This window comes from Homo sapiens, chromosome 9 (assembly GCF_000001405.40).
Source record: "Homo sapiens chromosome 9, GRCh38.p14 Primary Assembly".
In the NCBI taxonomy this organism is placed as follows: Eukaryota; Metazoa; Chordata; class Mammalia; order Primates; family Hominidae; genus Homo; species Homo sapiens.
Window position 1 is genome coordinate 96,876,485 of NC_000009.12, and position 21,793 is coordinate 96,898,277.

The window sequence follows — 21,793 nt, forward strand, 5'->3', positions numbered from 1 at the left end:
GATCCTCCCTCCATCAGTTTGCCTTTTCAACTCAAAGCAGCCCCTAGACGTTAAGGTACATACAAATATGTCTTGGGAATAAGGCTGTGAAATGTGAATGAAATACTTGCACACGGAGCACAGCATTACTATAAAAGAATAGTACCTGTGACCCTGACCAACAGGGTTTCAGGAAAGGGGAACAAAAGAAACAAAAACCAAAAAATACGCACAACGCAAAATAAGAAAAAAATGGCTATGGCCGGGCGCTGTGGCTCACGCCTGTAATCCCAACACTTTGGGAGGCCGAGGCGGGCGGATTGCCTGAGTTCAGAAGTTCGCGACCAGCCTGTGCAACACGGTGAAACCACGTCTCTACTAAAATACAAAAAATTAGCGGGGTGTGGTGGCGGGCGCCTGCAGTCCCAGCTACTCCGGAGGCTGAGGCAGGAGAATTGCTTGAACTCGGAACTCCGACTCAAAAAAAAAAAAAAAAAAAAAAAAAAAAAAGAAGAAGAAGAAAAGAAAAAAGAAAAAAAAATGGCTATCAGGCAAATCATGGATCTCCCAGAGATGTCCCTACTTAAACTTTACATGAGCACCTGTTGATTTTTTTAACCAAACCAGGGAAATACGGTCATAATATCATAGGAACATCTTTTTACTAAATTATACATATTGAGCATGTATCTGCTCAATATTATTCCGTAACATCAATAATTTCTTCCGTGAGATGATAAATTTAAATAGTGGCACCTATTCACCCAAGGGTTGGTCACAAAGTCAGTGCGATCCCCGTGAACACACCCGTGAAGCTTTGCTTCCCAGCAACTTTCCTGGGGGCCGCGGGCGAAGGAACACCCCCAGATGCCGCTGCGCAGGGACAGGGGACGCGCCCAGACGTAGAGGCCCTGACCTCTGAATCTTGGCGGGGCACCCAGGAGCCCGGCTTCGGGGTGCTTAGCGGGGCGAAGCCGCCCCCGGACCCGCGTGGCTCCAGCCTCCTGGGGGTACCTGGCAGAGGGGGCTGCAGCGAGCGCCCTGCCGCGCCGCTTCCTCCGCGCGTCTCCCGCCTGGCTCCGCCAAGACTGGGGGCTTCCCCATAGGCCCGCGTCCGAGCGCGTCCTCAGGCTTCGCTCCGCGAGATCTGGGGGCCCCGTGGGCTGGGGTTCGGGCGGGGTCCGTTCCTTGCGGTCCGCGGTCTTGAAGCAATTTCCCGGCAAAGTCCCGGGACAGCGGGAAAGAAACTGGTCTCCCTGCCTGGGGTCGTTCCCGGTGGATGTGCCTCTTCATCAGACGGAATTTTCCGTCTGTGCAAAAATGAAGCTTACTCGGTATCATGTGTGCTTTTTGGGGGGAAGGACAAAAAAATATATTTTCTATAAACAACTTAATTGGCTTATTAATACTCAAATACCCTGCTTCTGTTTTATTAAATACAGTCTTCCATATAAAAATCCTTGAACTCGTAAAGACTAAAGGTAACAGTATAATAAACAGTCAACCCAACCATATTTGTTCGCTTTGTAGTAAGCTTGGCAACTTGGCAACTTGTTAACTTGTTATTTTATTCTCCTTAAGTTCTGTACTGAAAAAGGCTGTTAAGCCTAGTTTCGCTCTTGTTGCCCAAGCTGGAGTGCAATGCTGCGATCTCAGCTCACTGCAACCTCTGCTTCCCGGGTTCAAGAGATTCTCCTGCCTTAGCCTCCCCAGTGGCTAGGATTACAGGCGCGCGCCACCACGCCCGGCTAATTGTTTGTATTTTTAGTAGAGACAGGGTTTCACCATGTTGGCCAGTCTGGTCTCCAACTCCTGACCTCAGGTGATCCGCCTGTCTTGGCCTCCCAAAGTGCTGGGATTACAGGCGTGAGCCACCGCGTCCGGACTCCCTTGCTTATTATTTAAAGTAAATACATTTAAACGTTTCTTTAAAAAATTTAGACACTGCAAATTTGATTATAGCAGTGCATAAAGCTATAATGTAGCTCCCCCTCCTAATATCCAGCCCACCTCCCAAGTACGACCAATTGTCCACTGATGCCTAACTCTGCACTTTAGGCTACAGCAAACAATGCATTTTTAAAAACATGGTTACAACTTCTTTACAATTTTCTTTTAACATGTAAAATTGTCTCCTAATCGAGTTATCTGATCAGGCTATAGAGAAGGAAATCTTTCTGTTCCTTAACTACATTGTAGGGAATATCATGTTTATTTAATCAATTCTTTGTGATGGATGTTTGTTTCCAGTTTTCACTATTATAAATAATATGTGGCAAATAGCATTGTTCATGCATCTTTTGATATTTGTGAGATTATTTCTTTGCACAAGAGCCAAAATGATAGAATTGTGCAGTTAAAATGTGTACAAATGAACATGTAACAGATGCTAACAGGGAGTCCTCAAAGAGGCTTGTATCAGTTTATGCTGTTTCCTCACATCCACTCCAACACCAGATAGCAAGCATTTTTGGTAACCGATTTATAGAAATGCTTAAGGTTAAACATCAAATGGTGCACCATAAATTTCTTTTAAAAAAAGAAAAACACAATGCTTAAAGAATTACTATTCATGTTTTAATGGAAAGAAAGTGGTCCAAACATATATTCATTCAACAGACACTTATTGAAAACCTGCTGTGTGACAGGCATCATTGTAGATGCTGGCATAATAACAAGGAATAAAAGAGATAAAAATCCTCACTTTGGCATAGTCAATTGTTAAGAAACAATGGGATACTTAGGCCGGGCGCAGTGGCTCACGCCTATAATCCCAGCACTTTGGGAGGCTTAGGCGGGCAGATCACGAGGTCAAGAGATCGAGACCATCCTGGCTAACACGGTGAAACCCTGTCTCCACTAAAAAAACAAAAACAACAACAACAAAAAATTAGCCGTGCCTGGTGGCGGGCGCCTGTAGTCCCAGCTACTCGGGAGGCTGAGGCAGGAGAATGGCGTGAACCCAGAAGGCAGAGCTTGCGGTGAGCCCAGATCGCGCCACTGCACTCCAGCCTGGGCGACAGAGCAAGACTCCGTCTCAAAAACAAACAAAAAAAGAAACAATGGGACACTTAAAGGCATCTAATAAAAGGGACTTTTACAAAGCCTGGGCAGAGTTGGTGAGACGCCCTGTGACTAGTGACAGTGAAGTCATTATCACCGCCAGGGTTGATGTGAGGGGAAGGAAATGTTACCAGAGCCTGGCAAAAAAGACCATCCCAACAAGAGCTATGGCCTTAAAAAGAGGAACATTGTTAGATTTGTTTCGCTCTTTTGGAGCAATTGTAATAAGCTTATGTTTAATTTCAGTTTCCAACTGTTTTTAGCTAATATGTAGTATGGTTGATATTTATGTGTTGACTTTGCATTCTGTGATCTTGCTTAACTCACTTATTCGTTTTAGGATTTTTTTTTGTTTTTTGTAGATTCCTTGGGATTTTCTGTGTAGACAAACATGCAATCTGTAAATAAGGATAGACTTATTTTTTCCTTTCCAATTTGTATGCCTTTTCTTTTCTTACATTACTGTAATGGCCAGGATTCCCAGTACTATGTTGAATAGTAGTGGGGAGCTTTTTTGGAGCAACTGTAAATAACATTATGTTTTTTATTTCAGTTTCCAATTGTTTTTGGCTAATACGTAATATGGTTGATATTTATGTGTTGGCTTTGCATTTTGTGATCCTGCTAAACCCACTTATTAGTTTTAAGATTTTTTTTTTTTAGATTCCTTGGGATTTTCTATCTAGACAACCATGCAATCTGCAAATAAGGATAGATTTATTTTTTCTTTCCAATTTGTATAGCTTTTCTTTTCTTACATTATTGTAATGGCCAGGATTCCCAGTACTATGTTGAATAGCAGTGGGGAGATCAGACACACTTGCCTTGGTCCTGATTTTAGGGGAAAAGCATTGAGACTTTAGCCATCAAGTGTGATGCTAGCTTTAGTTAATTTGTGGTTCCTCGTTTTTTAGGTTGAGAAAGTTTTCTTCTAGCTCTAGTTTTCTGAGAGTTATTATTATAAATGGATGTTTGATCTGGTCAAATGCTTTTGCCGCATCAACTGATATGATCCTGTGGTGTTTTATTTTTTCTTTAGTCTGTCAAAATTGCAGATAACATTGGTTGATTTTCAAATATTGAACCAGCCTTGCATTTGCTGAATAAACCACACCTAGTTGTAGTGTATCTTTCTTTTTATGTATTAATAGCTATGATTTACTGATATTTGTTGTAAACTTTGTGTCCATGTTCAGAAGAAGAATTGGTCTATAGTTTTCCTTCTTTGTACTGTCTTTGGCTTTGATATCAGCATAATGTTGGCTTTGTAAAATAAGCTGGGAAGTGTTCTCTCCACTTTTGTTTTCTGGAATAATTTATGTAAAACTGATGTCATTTCATCTTTAAAAGTTTGGTATAATTACCCAAGGAAGACATCTATGCCTGGAGATTTCCTTTTCAGCATGTTTTAAACTATGAATTCCATTTCTTTAATATAAAACTACTTAAATTATCTATTTTATAGTTGGTGAGTCTTCTTCGTGTTTTTCAAGCAATTAGAACATTTAAGTTATTGAATTTTGGATAGACTTGTTCATATTATTCACTTATTAAGCTTTTAATGTCTGTAGGTTCTATAGTTAGAACCCCTGTTTTCTGCCTAACGTTGGTAATTTACATCTTCTCTTCATCTTTGTCAATCTTGCTAGATGTTTATCAATTTTATTTATCTCTTCCAAAACCCCCCACAACTTTTGGGTTGATTTCCTCTTTTGTTTTTATGTTTTCAATTTTCTTGATTCCTCTTATCTTTATCATTTCCTTTCTTCTTCTAGCTTTTAGTTTATTTTGCTTCCCTTTTTCTGTCTTGTGGTAGAAACTTACATTGTTAATTTGAGACTTTTCCTTTTCTAATATAAACATTTAATGTTCTAAATTTCTTATAAGCACAGCTTTAGGTGCATCCAATAGATATTATGTTGTAAATGATACAAATTGTGAATGGATGAGTGATCAACCAATAGCTCTGCTGGTAATTGATTTACTTTTCTTCAATAAAGTTGCATAAACCAATGGAAAAAAATTAAAGACTATAATCCATTTTGTGTTAATTTTTGTGTATGATATGGAACATGTAGTAAGGCTTGAACTTTTTTTCCTCTACAAATATCTAATTGTTCCATCATTATTTATGGAAAAGACTATCCTTCCCTTGCTGAGGTATCTTGGCACCTCTGTAGAAAATCAGTTGTTCAGACCATAAATGTTCATTTTCTGTTTCTGGACTTCATATTCTCCTCCATTTATTTATATGTCCATTCTTATGCCAATATCACACTATCGTAAATACTGTAGTTTTATATTAATTATTTAAATAAAATGTAAATCCTCTAGCTTTGTTTTATTTCATAAAGTTGTTTTGGTTATTTACGTCTTCTGCATTTCCACATAAATGTTAAGCCTTCCTTGTTAATTTACACAAGAGCTTGGATTGTATAAAATGAACTATTTTGGAAGTATGAGTGTGTGTGTGTGTGTGTGTGTGTGTGTGTATACTCATTGTAATAACATATAATCAGAAATCTAAAAAATAATATTAGGAAATAATATTTTTAATACAAGTGTTCAGGCTTTCAATAGTTAACTATTTAATATTTATATAGATTGAGGTGACTAAAGAATGTGTTCACCAAAAAAGGCCTAAATTCATTAAGACAGTCTCTGTGAAAAAGGGATGTTAAAGGTTATGAGAAAAGTTACTAGATCTGCATTTTTAAAATAAAAATGACTTTCTGAGATATTGGACAGAAGCAGCTTTAGTTATTTGGAGGTCGAGCATACATGTCTACTATGATTCACCATAAAGCCATATTAGCAGCCATTGGCCAGTACATTTCGCATTATTTCCTTTTGCATATTTCATATGATAAATTCCTTTTAAGTTTGAGCACCAATAAAAAATTAGGCATTTCTTTTTTAAAATAGTAGGCTTCCTTTAATCAGGTATTTTGAATTATCTTTTGATTCTCTTTTCCATTGTAAATTAGCAAATTACAGAGATTATATTAATTTATTATAAATGTACTCCCATTTTATTTAAAAAGGTGATAGTATTATACATTTTAATCTCTAATCACTGTAAACTATGGAAATATCAAGCCTCTAATTGAAAATATTCCTGAAAGCATCAGTAGGAAAGAATCAATCTCTTGGTCTCAGTCATGTAGCAAGAGCATTCCATGATTGTTTTAACTGCATGCTTACATATTTTAGTTACGTCTTATTGTAAAATGTCAATGCCATTATAGAAATTTCAAATTTAAAAAGTACATCTTGTCCTTGGACACTGTGGCCTCAAAAGACTAGCTGAAGTTTTTCTTCACCTTAATTATCATTGCTGAACTTGTAGGAGGGGTGGTTTAAATGTGTCAGTGACTTAAAACGAGAATTCTCTCTTTGATTTGGATAATCCATGAAAACTAGTGATGTTACCTTGTTCATGAAGGAACAATGCAGAGAAGACACCACACTGGCTGTCATGAGAAGAATGGACAATAGGAGATGAAGAATGAAAAGACAGAATTCTGCAAGACAACAGTTGCAGTAAAGTTGTTTAGTTTCTTTGCATTGCCACATTAAAAAAAGGAAAGACAAAGCAGCTAGACATCGAAACAAAACTAAACACGAAACACCAAGGACAATATATTTTTTAAAAACATGGTGACAGGATGTTTTCATGAATCCCAAAATATGGGGTGTGGAGACAAGCCACCTGACTACAAGTGACATCTTGTGTAGGAGGAAGCAAGGAAAGCATTGGTGGGATGATTCCAGAACAGCAGCTCTAAAAGGAGGGGTTTGTTTTCTCCAATACCAGTAGGGCTCAAGGGGCTTGTGTAAGATAAGCTGAAGGGGATGGAGCAGTGTAGCTCCTCTGAAATCACCTGCCAGGGATCCCTTTTAGGGCAGGGACCTACACTGAAGAGAGACTGCTTCTAGTGGAATGAAAATCAAGCAGGATAGGGACAACAAAGGTGACAGAGAGAGAAGGTTTAGACTAAAGGGACGGAGGAGAATAAAGGCAGAACATCTCAGAAAGCCAAGTTGACATATTTTTGAGCCCTAGACACAACCAATAGAAGGGAGCTCTGTGAAGTTTGAAAGGCTTTTCACACCTCTTTCAGAAAATTCAGAAACCTTCACATCTCTTTCTGAAAGTTCAGAAAAACTAACGACATAAAAAATAAAAGTCCTTCCTACTACACATAGAAATCTTTGGAAACAAAACAATAAACAAGCATAGCAAAACTCTGAAAAGATACATGGAAGAAGATGGGCTGTCCAGAGACATCAAGAGTTGATGAACTGCAGGGTGATGAGTTCTCTGTTTCCTTCTGCTTCTCATATGCCATGGACAGGGCACTACAGAAACCTCCAACCCAGAACTACCAATAGGCACAGACAATGAAACAAAAGCCTTAAGAAAAGTGTGTTCTCTTTAGCCAAAGGTCTTGGAATGGATGGGCTATGAATAGAAAAGCTTTTAGCAATATCAGCCCTACACCAGCCAAACACCAACAGAAAAGCTGTACTACCCTCTACCCTGTGGAAGCAAGCAAGGGAACTCTGATTTCCCAATCTGGTGGTATTGGCAGGGCCGAGCACAGAGCTAATCTTGCATCCTCTGCCTGGCAGAAGTGGGTGGCAGGAGGAGCTGAGATTCCATGCCTTGCCTGGAAGCAGACAGTGCTCTGATTCCCCCACAGGGGTAGTGTCAGTGGGGTCAAACAGTGAGCTGAGCCTTCACCCCCACCCAGCAGCAATGAAATTTGACAATGCAGTAAAAGGCAGAGCTGGTTACAATGAGGCTTCACCCCTCCAGGCCCTGTCATGAAGGTCCATTGGGTGCTGACCCTTCACCTCCACTTGGCAACAACAAGGCAGAATAGAGTGTCATAAGGAAGGGTAGCTGATGTTTTGCTTCTCCCCTTTCCTGATATCAACAATATGCAGAGCCAAGCTGACCCTCCACTCCTACTCATAGCAACAAGGTGGTGTGAGTCAGCCTTCCACCTTTCCTACCTTCCCTCCCACCCCACAACCCCGAAGGCAGTGGAGCCAGTCAGGGAGCTGGTCACATAGTCACACTCAGAGGCAACAAGGTGGTGTGAGTCAGCGTCCCACTTTGACCAGGAAGATGACTGTGGGATGAAGAAGGACTTGAACTTTCACCCCACCCATCTGCAACAATGCAGTGTGAGTCAGTGCCCCATTTTTACCAGGATGGTTTGGAGGAGTCTATTAGGAAGCTGAACAAACACACCCACCTGACCCTGGCACTATACCCACTTAAAAAAGGTTAACTAGGATTCATGGTCTCATAATATAGAAAATATCTGGGATACAATTTAAAAAATGCTTGACATGCCAAGAATCAGAAAAATCCCACAGAAATGAGAAAAAAAATAACAGACACTAACACCAAGATAAATCAGATAGGGTATTATCTAACAAGTGTTTTCAGGCAACTATCAAATGCCTCAACAAGCAATTGCAATTTTAAAAAAGATTAAATGGATTAAATTTAAAAAAGATTAAATAGAATTCACAGTCTCATAATATAGAAAATATCTGGGATACAATTAAAAAAATGCCAAGAATCGGAAAAATCCTACAGAAACAAGAAAAAAATAACAGATACTAACACCAAGAGAAATCAGATAGAGTATTATCTAACAAGGGTTTTCGGGCAGCTATCAAATGCTTCAACAAGCAATTGCGATTTTTTTGGAGTAAAAAAATAGAAAATTTCACCAAAGAAACAAAAATTACAAAAAGAAACCAAATACAAGTTAGAGAACTGAAAAATATGATAACCACAATAAAAAGCCTGCTGGATATGCTCAATAGTATAGTGGACATAAAAGAGGATAAAATCAATGAACCTGAAGACAGATCAATAAAATTTACCCAATGTGAGCAGCAGAAAAAAAGGTAAGAAAAGAGAACAATTACAGCATGTCAGGGATCTATAAGACAATAACTAAAGGGTTAACATTTGTGTTAACAGAGATCCAGTAGGAGAGAGAGGCACTGAAAAAGTGTCTGAAAAAATAAAGGCTGAAATGTCTCAAATTTGGGAAAAGACATAAATCTACAGATTGAAGAATCTGAGTGATTCCCAAACATGGTAAGCCCAAAGACATTGATGCCAAGACACATAATAATTAAGTTTCTGGAAACAAAAAAAAACAAAGAAAAAAGTCTTGAAAGCATCAGAGAGAAACAACACATTACTTGCAGAGCCTCAATTTAAATAACTTATTTTTCCTTCCTTCCTTCCTTCCCCTTCCTTCCTTCCTTCCTCTTTCTTTCTTTCTTCCTTTCTTTTCTTAGACAGAGACAGAGTCTCACTCTGTGGCCTAGTCTGGAGGGCACTGGTGCAATCATGGCTTACTTCAGCCTCAACCTCCCAGGCTCAAGTGATCCTCTAGCCTCAGCCTCCCAAGCAGCTGGGACCACAGGCACATGCCACCATGCCCAACTAAGTTTTGTATTTTTTGTAGGGACAGGGTCTCCCTATGTTGCCCAGGCTGGTCTTGAACTCCTGGGCTCAAGTGATCCTCTTGCTTCAGCCTCCCAAAGTGCTGGGATTATAGGCATCAGCTATCACACCTGGCCCAACATTTTCAATCTGAAACCCTGGAGCTGGAAGAAAGTAGAAAGCAATTTTTAAGTACAGAAAAAAAAAAAAAAAAGAACTGTCAACCCAGAATTCTACATCCAGTGAAAATATCCTTTAAGAATGAGGCCAGACACAATAGCTCACAAGTTGAAACTTAAGACAGGAAAGAGCATCAAAAATGAGTAAAAATAAGGGCAAATATGACAGACTATCCAACCTCTCATGAGTTTCTTAAATGATAATTGAGTGTTAAAGCAAAAACTCTACACCTAATATGGTGTTCAATGTATATGGAGGAAATGCCACAGAAATTTTATTTTAAAAGTGGAGAGAGTAAAGGGGTGTAAATGTAGAAAAGGTTGTTAAACCACACTAGAATTGGTTAAACATCAGTACTAGTAGACTGTGATGAGTTACATATGTGTATTGTTATACCTAGAGCAACCACTCAGAAAACTATCCAAAGCTGTATGATCAAAAACACTATAAGCCTGGGCATGGTGGCTCATGCCTGTAATCCCAGGACTTTGGGAGGCCGAGGCAGGTGGATCGCCTGAGGTCAGGAGTTGGAGACAAGCTTGGCCAACATGGAGAAACCTCATCTCTACTAAAAATACAAAAATTAGCTGGGCGTAGTGACATGTCCCTGTAATCCCAGCTACTCAGGAGGCTGAGGCAGGAGAATCGCTTGAACCTGGGAGGTGGAGGTTGCAGTGAGCCAGGATGCGTCACTGCACTCCAGCCTGGGCAACAAGAGCAAACTCCCTCTCGAAAAAAAAAAAAAAAACTATAAATAAAACAAAATAGAATCCTAATAAATATGCAAATAACCCACAGAGAGGGAAGAAATGAGACATATGAACAAGAAACACAGGAAACTGGCCGGATGCGGTGGCTCACACCTGTAATCCCAGCATTTTGGGAGGCCAAGATGGGCAGATTACCTGAGGCCAGGAGTTTGAGATCAGCCTGGCCAACATGGTGAAACCCCGTCTTTACTAAAAATACAAAAATTAGCCAGGTGTGGTGGCACACGCCTGTAATCCCAGCTACTCGGGAGGCTGAGGCAGGAGAATTGCTTGAACCCAGGTGCTCCAGCCTGGGCAACAAGAGCAAGACTCCATTGCAAAAAAGAAAGGAAGGAAGGAAGGAAGGAAGGAAGGAAGGAAGGAAGGAAGGAAGGAAGGAAGAAAGAAAGAAAGATACGAAACCAACAGCAAGCAAATAACAAAATGGCAGACTTCAGCCCTCATATATCAGAATTGCTACAAGGCAATTCTTCAAGTGGTCTACGTACAGTAATTAAAAGACAGAGATTGGCAGAGTGGACTAAAAAACAAAAAACCAAACATGATACAACATTATGCTGGATCTACAAAAACTCACTTGAAATACAATGACATAGGTAGACTGAAAATGAAAAGTAAACTAGTTCAACCATTGTGGAAGTCAGTGTGGCGATTCCTCAGGGATCTAGAACTAGAAACACCATTTGACCCAGCCATCCCATTAATGGGTATATACCCAAAGGATTATAAATCATGCTACTATAAAGACACTTGCACACGTATGTTTATTGCAGCGCTATTCACAATAGCAAAGACTTGGAACCAACCTAAATGTCCAACAATGATAGACTGGATTAAGAAAATGTGGCACATATACACCATGGAATACTATGCAGCCATAAAATATGACGAGTTCATGTCCTTTGCAGGGACATGGATGAAGCTGGAAACCATCATTCTCAGCAAACTATTGCAAAGACAAAAAACCAAACACCACATGTTCTCACTCATAGGTGGGAATTGAACAATGAGAACACATGGACACAGGAAGGGGAACATCACACACCAGGGCCTGTTGTGGGGTGGGGGGAGGGGGGAGGGATAGCATTTGGAGATATACCTAATGTTAAATGACGAGTTACTGGGTGCAGCACACCAACATGGCACATGTATATGTATGTAACTAACATGCATGTTGTGCACATGTACCCTAAAACTTACAGTATAATAAAAAAAGAAAAAAAAAAAGAAAATGAAAAGCATTAAAATAAATGTACCATGCAAATATTAACTTAAAAGTAGAAGTCGCTATATTAATACTAATACAGTAGACCTCAGAGCAAAGAATTACTGGAGCAAAGAGGGACATTACATAATGATTTTTAAAAATTAATTTACTATGAAGACAAAATGGTTTTACATGTGTACACACCAAGAGCAGAGCCTTAAAATGCATAAACCAAAACCAATAAAGCTGAAAGAAGAAATCAACAAATCCACAATTGTAAGTTGGACTTCAACACTCTTCTCAGCAATTGATAAAACTACTAGACATAATTTTAAAAGTTATAATAATCAAAAAATGGAGTGAATAATATAAAAACAAATTAAGAGTGTGTTTGATTATGAGAAATGTCATTTGCAGACTCCTTCCTTTGGCAGACCTTGATTGGGCAGGTTTGATGTGCCTGAGCTTAATGCAGGATGCACTTGGATGTGGTCAAGAGCTAGTCTGGACTTTGTGTCTGCAGCTGTGGCCACTTTGCCCTCCTTCAGACTCTGAGGCCACTTTTGCTCTCAGAGGCACACAGAAGAGACATCGGGCGCATGGTAAGCACTGCTCAGCAGCCTCAGTGGGGCACCAAGCACATTAGCAAAAGCATCTGTCATGAATTCCAGGCCTCTGAAAGTCACTGACCACCATAACCATCGGCCAGATGGATCCCACAACTGGGGAACACATAGATGCCACATAATTCCCGGCCCTGGACTGTCTCTCTCCATGAAATCAGGTGATAACAGAAATCCCAGGAGCTTCTGATCCTCAAGAGCTTTTTCCAAAACTGGTCTGGAAAGTCATCCAACATCTGCAGCCAAGCCTGTGCTTCCAGGGCTTTGCAAAACTGTGAGGCCTGCCTGGTCAGTCTGTTTGACGCAAAGCAGGAATTTCTCTACACTATGCACCGCAAAGCTTATTTCTTTCTACATTACTCCTCCTGCCATGCATCATAAGCCCACTCCCTTCACCAAGCGAAATGCTGTCTTCTCTGGACGCTCAGTAGCACCCTTCCTAAAATGCAGCTTTCAGGACTGGACATGAAATTCCAGACATGACACCAGGAAGCAGGCATTCACGCCACCATCTCTTTCTCTATCCAGCCATTTAATGCCATTATTGCAAACTTTTGGGGTGCCCAAGTCAGGTTGTTAATAATACTGAAATTACTGGTATCCCAAAACTAATTTTTTTTTTTTTTGAGATGGAGTTTTGCTCTTGTTGCCTAGGCTGGAGTGACATGGCACCATCTTGGCTCACTGCGATCTCCGCCTCCCGGGTTCAAGCGATTCTCCTGCCTCAGCCTCCCGAGTAGCTGGGATTACAGGCATGCGCCACCACGTCCGGCTAATTCTTTGTATTTTTAGTAGAGACAGGGTTTCTCCACGTTGGTCAGGCTGGTCTCGAACTACCGATCTCAGGTGATCCGCCCGCCTTGGCCTCCCAAAGTGCTTGGATTAGAGGCGTGAGCCACCGCGCCCAGCCCCAAAACTAAGATTTTTAAAGAGTACTTATTAATTTCATCTTTATCCTGTACTTGGGTCATATATATGTATGTGTGTGTGTGTATATGTGTATATATATGTTTAAATAAAATTTAACTGATACGTATATTTAATCTCAACAAAGAGCTTTACATTTATACACAATATGTTTCATTCTACTAGTTTTAAACTTTCTAGAGTTTGGAAGTCCTTTTCTTCCTGTCTCTTTTTAAAAATCCAAATTCTTTTATTCAGAGTATACACCCTCTGTCATGGGCATCTGCTGCTCTTGCCTCCCTGGTGAAGCCGTCCTGGTTTTCTTGTGGAACATCATCCTTCACATAGCAATCCATGTGCTGTGGCTGGGCTGACCATCCTCCACATCCCGAGGCAGGCGTGTGACCCAGGCAGGGCCAAGTAGCACCAGCCTGGCACTTTCCTCCAAGGAGGATACAGGGATGAGCCTGGCGGGGGGTGTGTGCAACGCAGAGGACAGCAGGTCCCGCAGGGGAAGAGATGAAGTGCTGATGACGCTCTGTGAGCCCTGCGTCCAGCCAGGCCTGTGCCACCCAGGTCTTCCTCTCATATAAGCAGTTCAACAATGGTTTCTGCCCCTTTCAGCTGACAGACTTGTCTAACAGAGCATCTCTCCAATTCTGTCACTGCAGCTTCAACCATCATTTTCTTACAGGATGGGCTGGTGGTGACAAGGGGTCCAGGGGGTTTGTTCCAGGGCTGTGTTTCCCTAGCAAGGATAGTTTTTGTGTTTCATGTGTGTTTGGGCGGCTTAGTGGGGTGCAATGGATTTGTGTGTGTTCGCGTGTTAATTAAAGTACCCTCCAGCCTCCTGCCAGTGTCACCACCACCATACTCATTCAAATGACTGAAAAGAATCATTGGGAGATCCAGTCAAGGACACGGCTAGATTATTTGCCACTAGAAACCCAATGCAAATGGGCAGTAACTAACAGTATTTTATTTAACTGTGCCTTAGCCACCTTTTATCCAGGTCCTATTGCTGGTTTGGATGTAAAATGTTACAGCTCTGTGGAAAACAGTTTGGCAGTTCCTTAAAAAGTTAAATGCAGAATTACCATATGATCCAGCAATTCCACTCAGATATTTGTATACCAGTGTTCACAGCAACATTATTCATAATAGCCCAAAGGTGGGAACAACCGAAATGTGCATCAACTGATGAATGGATAAACCAAATGTGGCATATGCACACAATAGAACATTACTCCACCTGAAAAAACAAGATTCTGATACATGTAAAACATGAATGAACCTTGAAAATATTATGCTAAGTGAAAGAAGCCAGACACAAAAGGATAAATACTGTATTCCACTTATATGAGGTACCTAGAATTGGCAAATTCATAGAGGCAGAAAGTAGAATAGAGGTTACCAGAGAGTGGGGATTGGAGGATGCGGAGTTATTGCTCTTTGGGTACAGGGCTTCTGTTTGGAATGAGAATTAAAAAATCTGTGGAAATGAATAAATGGGATGTTTGCACAACTTTCTGAGTGTATTTAATGCCACTGAATTGTACACTTAAAATAATACATTTATATTATGTATATTTTACCACAGAAAATGGAAAAAAAATTTTTGTTTTGCAGACACCAGTACTTCCTCTTAAATACTTTAGCATGCGTATATTTGTTCAATATTTGTTTACAACATTTTAATGTAACATTTACATATAATGAAATGCACAGATCTTGAGTGTACATTCTTTGAATTTTGACAGATGTATATACTTGTATAACTCAAATCCTTATCAAGATACAGAATGTTACCATCACCCAGGTGATGTTCCCTCATGGCCCTTCCCCGTGAAATGCTCTGTTAAGTCTTTTTTTTTTTTTTTTGAGATGGAGTCTTGCTCTGTCACCTGGGCTGGAGTGCAGTGGTGTGATCTCGGCTCACTGCAGTCTCTGCCTCCCGCGTTCAAGCAATTCTCTGCCTCAGCCTCCCGAGTACCTGGGATTACAGGTGCCCACCACCACGCCTGGCTAATTTTTGTATTTTTAGTGGAGACGGGGTTTCACCATCTTGGCCAGGCTGGTCTTGGTGATCCACCCGCCTCGGCCTCCCAAAATGCTGGCATTACAGGCGTGAGCCACCGTGCCCGGCCTCTGTTAAGATTTTTAAGAGCAGAATCAAGAAATTGAAGGATTTGCTGTTATTCCTACCTGCATTGGACTTGACCTGGGTGTTGGGTGAGTAGCAATCTGTTACTGTTTCTCTATGTGGACGATGAGGAAAGGGTTGAGAAATCCAGCGAAAGGACACTTCTGTTAATAGCTCAATCTGCTGCCCATGGTTGGGAAAAGGGGAGTATGCGGTGGTGGTTGTGGGGCAATCAGGGGGGCTATAGGGAACAAGTGTTCTGATTCTGAGCAGAACTACTCTGCTCTCAGTAAAGCTGTCATGATAGAACACTGCCCCTGGGTATATGCCCTTGTTGTCCATCCCTTTTTTAGTTCTTAGCAAAGCCGTCTTCCTATTTCTCTTGGGAATGTTCACAGCAGCATTATTAATAATAGCCCAAAGGTGGGAACAACCGAAATGTGCATCAACAGATGAATGGATAAACAAAATGTGGCATATGCACACAATGGAACATTACTCCACCTGCTGTGGAGTTCACGCTGCTGTGAACATTAGTATACAAATATCTGAGTGGAATTGCTGGGAATGGTAAATTGGAGCCAACAGTTCACATCCTCATGAAGGTTCGGTGTGACTGTCATGCGTGGACCACCCTGGAGTCCAGCTGGGCAGTGACCCTTCCTCACGCCTTTGCTGTGTGATGGACCGGCTGAGCAGCGTCAGTGCGGATCTTAGGAACATCAGTTCCCAAATGGGAGACATGCCTTTACCAAGTTATCTGAGGCTCCTGTTTCACACTCTCTTCCTCCTCCTCCTTCTCCTTTATGAGTTCTTTAATTTTTTTTCTTGAACTATATTCTTCTGAATCTGTTATCTTATGAGAATTATGCATCTTAATTTTTTTAAATTGAGATAATAAAGCCCAAGAAGAAATAACTTTTTTCAAGCACCTCTAAGAAATATATCTGGCTTATATCATTCGTGAACATTTAAAAATGCACATACAGGAATGTGCATGTCTGTATTTTTAACAATTGTACTAAATTATTCAAACTGTCCTACAAATTGCTTTTTTTTTTTTTAACCTGAAAAGTATAATTCATGGCAGGACTCTATTTCTTCTGCCACAATATGATCAATAGGGTTTCAGACAGTGACTCTCATAACACCCTCGGAGCGCTCACTCTCTTTTTAAAGAGTTTATTCTTTTCAAAGTCGTGTGGATTAATTCCAGTATGTCAAGTCAAACTTTGGCTATAAAATGACATGGTTGACCAAGAAAAACACTTATGTGCTCACAATTTTCCATCCAGTGGCTTCTGAACATTTAAGACTACCTGCCCCTGACCAAGTCCTGTTTTGAAAATAGCTTAAACAATCTATTCAAGAAATCATACTGAGCCTTTTCTTTACTGGGGGATGGGCAGAAAAGAATTAGAACACACAACAAAGCAAGGAAGAGAAACTTTGAACTTTCTTATCATATCAAAAGCAGCAAATTCCAACTCATAGTTAAAAAATAGGAGGCTATCTGATCATTAAAAAGTCAGGAAACAACAGGTGCTGGAGAGGATGTAGAGAAACAGGAACACTTTTACACTGTTGGTGGGACTATAAACTAGTTCAACCATTGTAGAAAACAGTGTGGCAATTCCTCAGGGATCTAGAACTAGAAATACCATCTTGACTCAGCCATCCCATTACTGGGTATATACCCAAAGGATTATAAATTATGCTGCTATAAAGACAAATGTACATGTACGTTTATTGCAGCACTATTCACAATAGCAAAGACTTGGAACCAACCCAAATGTCCATCAATGATAGACTGGATTAAGAAAATGTGGCACATATACACCATGGAATACTATGCAGCCATAAAAAATGATGAGTTCAAGGCCGGGCGCAGTGGCTCACGCCTGTAATCCCAGCACTTTGGGAGGCCGAGGTGGGTGGATCACGAGGTCAGGAGATCGAGACCATCCTGGCTAGCACGGTGAAACCCCTTCTCTACTAAAAATACAAAAAATTAGCCGGGAGCGGTGGCGGGCGCCTGTAGTCCCAGCTACTCGGGAGGCTGAGGCGGGAGAATGCCGTGAACCCGGGAGGCGGAGCTTGCAGTGAGCGGAGATCGCGCCACTGCACTCCAGCCTGGGTGACAGAGCGAGACTCCGTCTCAAAAAAAAAAAAAAAAAAAAATGATGAGTTCATGTCCTCTGTAGGGACATGGATGAAGCTGGAAACCATCATTCTGAGCAAACTATCACAAGGACAGAAAACCAAACACCGCATGTTCTCACTCATAGGTGGGAATTGAACAATGAGAACACATGGACACAGGGCGGGGAACATCACACACTGGGGCCTGTTGTGGGATGGGAAGAGGGGGGAAGGATAGCATTAGGAGAAATACCTAATGTAAATGACGAGTTGATGGGTGCAGCACACCAACATGGCACATGTATACATATGTAACAAACCTGCACGTTGTGCACATGTACCCTAGAACTTAAAGCATAAAAAAAAAAAGAACCTCCATGCTCAATATCTGATCATCCTCCATATCTGATCAGGGCTTCATCCTCCACCATCTCCCAGGTAGTGTCTCAACACCCCAGCCTGTTTTCAGCAAGAATCCTGTTAGGTCAGTTAAGCCAGAATCTTTCCTTACTCTTGAAGTTTCCTCTTAGTAATTTTCAATCCACTGACCCCCACCCTACTCCTTGGCAATAAATTCCCACTTACCCAAACTGTATTCAGAGTTGAGCCCAATCTCTCTCCCTCGCTGTAAAATGCTATTGCATTGGTCCCTGTATCTATTCTGATGATCTTGAAAAAGTCAGCCTTACCATCCTTGAACAAGTGTCATTGAAAAATCTTTAACAAGAGGACATGCTTTCTTTTTCTATTTATTATTATTTTTTAGAGTCAGGGCTCACTCTATTGCCCAGGCTGGAGTGCAGTGGTGTGACCATAGCACACTGTACCCTCAAACTCCTGGGCTCAAGAGACCCTCCTGCCTCAGCCTCCTGAGTAGCTGGGACTATATGCACCATCATACCTGGCTAATTTTAAAAATTTTTATAGAGGCAAGGTCTTGCTACGTTGCCCAAGCAGGCTTCAAACTCCTGAGCTCAAGCGATTCTCCTACCTTGGCCACCCAAGGTGCTGGGATTATAGGTGTGAGCTACCACATCTAGCTCAGGACACACTTTCTGTTATGACTATGAGAAATAAATTTGTGAGGGAGTTCCAATATTTTTAAAGAGCTCTGTGGTTGCTCTTCTGTATAGGTCAGAAATTACAGTGGGAACTGCTGCCACTGAATGGGATTCTTAAGTATAAGGAGAGTAACTGGATCCCAGGATGGCAGGGGCCAAGTGGCAGCATTTAATCACCAAAGACAAGGTGAACATGGTTACTGTAATGGACAGTAAAGTCAAAACTGTAGTTAGAAAGTCCGATTTACAGAGACTTATGGCATTAGCTAGCTGGTCATAGTATCCATAGAAATAAAAGAGATGGAAAGCCTACTAAATTCTTATCTGTTCTGTATAAAAAGAAGAATCAAGTGAATAAAAGTCTAACTCGAATCAAAAAAACGGAGTCACAGCTCCTGAATCAATTCCAAGACTTGGGCCAGTTTGCAGACCCATATCTCCTTAAATAATGAGGAGGCTGTGTCCCCACTGCATTACCAAAATTGTATACTGTTCATTTTTCTCTCAGCCTTCCCCAAAGGGACCTATAGCACTTTACCAAGTTGACTGTGCATTGGGGAAAAGGGAATAATCAGACTTTGGGGGAATTACTGGACATTGGTTCTGAACTCAGACTCAGGGTACCCCAGGAAAACTAATGCATCACTCTGGTTCACAAGTGAGAGTAGGGGCTTAGGGAGGTTAGGTGATCAATGGAGTTTTAGTTTAGGTCTGTCTTGCAGTGGGTCGTCTTGTTATCTCTGTAGCTGCAGAATAATTGGAATAGACATACTCAACAATTAGCAGAATCCCTACACTGGTTTCCTGACCTGAAGAGTGAGGGCAATTACGCTATAAAGTGGAAGCCACTTACCTGCCTCTATCTAGAAAAACAGCAAACCAAAAACAATACTGCATTCTTGTAGAGCTTGCAGAGATTAGTACCACCATCAAGGACTTGAAGGATGCAGAGGTGGTACTTTTTATCACATTCCCATTCTACTCCCCTATTTAGCCTGTGAAGAAAACAGATAGATCTTGGAGAATGAGAGTAAATTACTGGAAACTTAATCAGGTGGGGACATCAATTTCAGCTGCTGTTCCAAATGTGGTTTCATAGCTTGAGTAAATTAATACATCCCCTGGTACCTGGTATGCACTTACTGATCTGGCAGATACTTTTTTTCCTGATGTCTGTTAGTAGAGACCACCAGAAACAGTTTGGTTTCAGGTGGCAAGCTCGCAATACACCTTCGTTGTCCTACCTCAGGTGTATGCCAACTCTCCAGCCCTATGTCATAATTTAATCTGAAGGGATCTTAATTGCCTTTCCCTTCTATATCAATCGCACTGGTCCATTACATTGATGACATAATGCTGACTGGAAGCAGTAAGAAGTAGCAACTATTCTAGACTTACTACTAAGACATTTGCATGTCAGAGGGTGGAAAATAAATCCTATAAAAATTCAAGGGCCTTTCACTTCAGCGAAATTTCTAGGAGTCTAGTGGTCGAGATATCCCTTCTAAAGTGAAGAATAAGTTGTTGCATCTAGCCCCTTGTACAACCAAAAAAAGAGGCATAACACCATTAGGCCCTCTTTGGATTTTAGAGGCAACATATTCCTCAATTGAGTGTGTTACTCTCTGACCTATTTGCCAAGTGACCCAAAAAGCTGCTAGTTTTAAGCCCAGGATAAAAGCAGGCTCTGCAACAGGTCCAGGCTGCTGTGCAAGCTGCTCTCCCACTTGGGCTTTATGTTTCAGGAGATCCAATGGTGCTTGAAGTGTCAGTGGCAGATAGGGATACTATCTGAAGCCACTGGCAGGCCTCTACAGGCAAATCAGTGTGGACCCTAGAACTGTGGAGCATGCCATCTTCCGCTGATAACTACTCTCCTTTTCAGAAGCAGTTTTGGCTTGCTCCTGGGACTTAGTGGAGACTGCTCAAGCATGGGCCACCTAGCTACCCTGCAACCTGAGCTTTCCATCATACATTGGGCATTGTCTGATCCACCAAGCCATAAAGTTAGGCGTGCAGAACAGCACTCCAACATCACATGAAGTGGTATACAGTTGGTCCTCTGTATCCTCTGTGTGGAGCCTGGGCCACATGGGTCTCCCAGATGTGCTCTGAAGTCACTGTCAAAAGTCATGGGCACTGGAGAGTTTCATGTGCCTGACGCTACGGAAGATACCAAATTCTACATTTGCCTCCAATGGGCACAAATGTCAGTTTCCATCAAGCTCCACCCTGTCCAGGTGACTCCTGTTGTGGCTCTTTTCATATCATCTCCCCTTCTCCCACAAGTGCCACCAACAGGCAAAGGTGGGGAGCTGGGTTTGGAGACGCTGGTCTGACCCTTAGGTGAAATCCTCTCCCCTGATGTTGCAGGAGAATGGGTGCTCAGATGGAGAATCAGCACTCTTCTCAGGATTGGAAGGTGCTGTGGCTGGGGGAGTCTGCATTATGTTCTGGGCTGTGAGCTTTTCCAGAATTCCACTCCACAGGCACACGTCTGCTGTGTATGCATTTCTTGATATAAATCAGAAGTCCCTGAGTTCTCTGCTCTTGAATGTCTATGTAACGTGTCTAGCCCCATCTGAGGATGCTGGAAGTCGAGTCTGTTAGGAGGCCCCTGAATATGTGCTTGTCCCGGTGGTGCTCCAGGAGGTTGCCTAACCCCTCATTTCTCTTTTGTTCTGTGTTTCTTGCTCTAGGCTATTGCTCCATTTTCTGTAGGTCACCTCCTGCCACCTCTTCTCCAGGGTGATGCTGTTTGCAACACACAGTTCCTTGTCTTGGTTTCCTAAGCATCTTATTTCTGAAGGTGAGATATTGGCTGTAACAATTAAACTATTATTACAAGCTTGGGGATAACACTAGGTCCTTAAGAAAAGAATAAAATCAAACCTGAGCTTCAGATAAGGATCACAGGATTAATGCCTGCCTTGTACCGGACAATAGGGATAAAGACCAGTTGCCTCCACAAGTGACTCTCCTCAGGTCCCAGCCAGCTGACAACTGCATGCACTGATTATCTCTTTCTTTCCTTTTCTTTAACTGCATACAGGTTTCCAGGCCTTTGCTCACCCTGAAGGAGTCTCTGTTGCAAAAAATTGAGGTGAAATTCACATAATATAAAATGAGCCAATTTAAAACACACATTTCAGAGGCATTTAGTATCTTCACAAGGTTGTGACAAACATCACCTGTAGTTCTAAAATATTTTCTTCACATCAAAGGAGACCAAACC

At 41.5% G+C, this 21,793-nt stretch overlaps 1 protein-coding gene across 1 annotated transcript in view, besides 1 other annotated feature; it reads right to left on the bottom strand.

Moving 5' to 3' along the window:
• ZNF782 (zinc finger protein 782) overlaps positions 1–21,793 on the bottom strand; it is a 117,643-nt gene that overhangs the window by 60,321 nt on the left and 35,529 nt on the right. The gene's annotated exons all lie outside the window — the stretch shown is intronic.
• Positions 7,486–8,685: an enhancer, noted in NCBI's record as "CDK7 strongly-dependent group 2 enhancer chr9:99646252-99647451 (GRCh37/hg19 assembly coordinates)". NCBI's record gives its function as "activates an origin of replication core promoter dependent on BRD2, BRD4, P300/CBP, MED14 and CDK7 cofactors, with strong dependence on CDK7, by STARR-seq in HCT116 cells {active_cell/tissue: HCT116}" and the evidence as "EXISTENCE:reporter gene assay evidence [ECO:0000049][PMID:35650434]".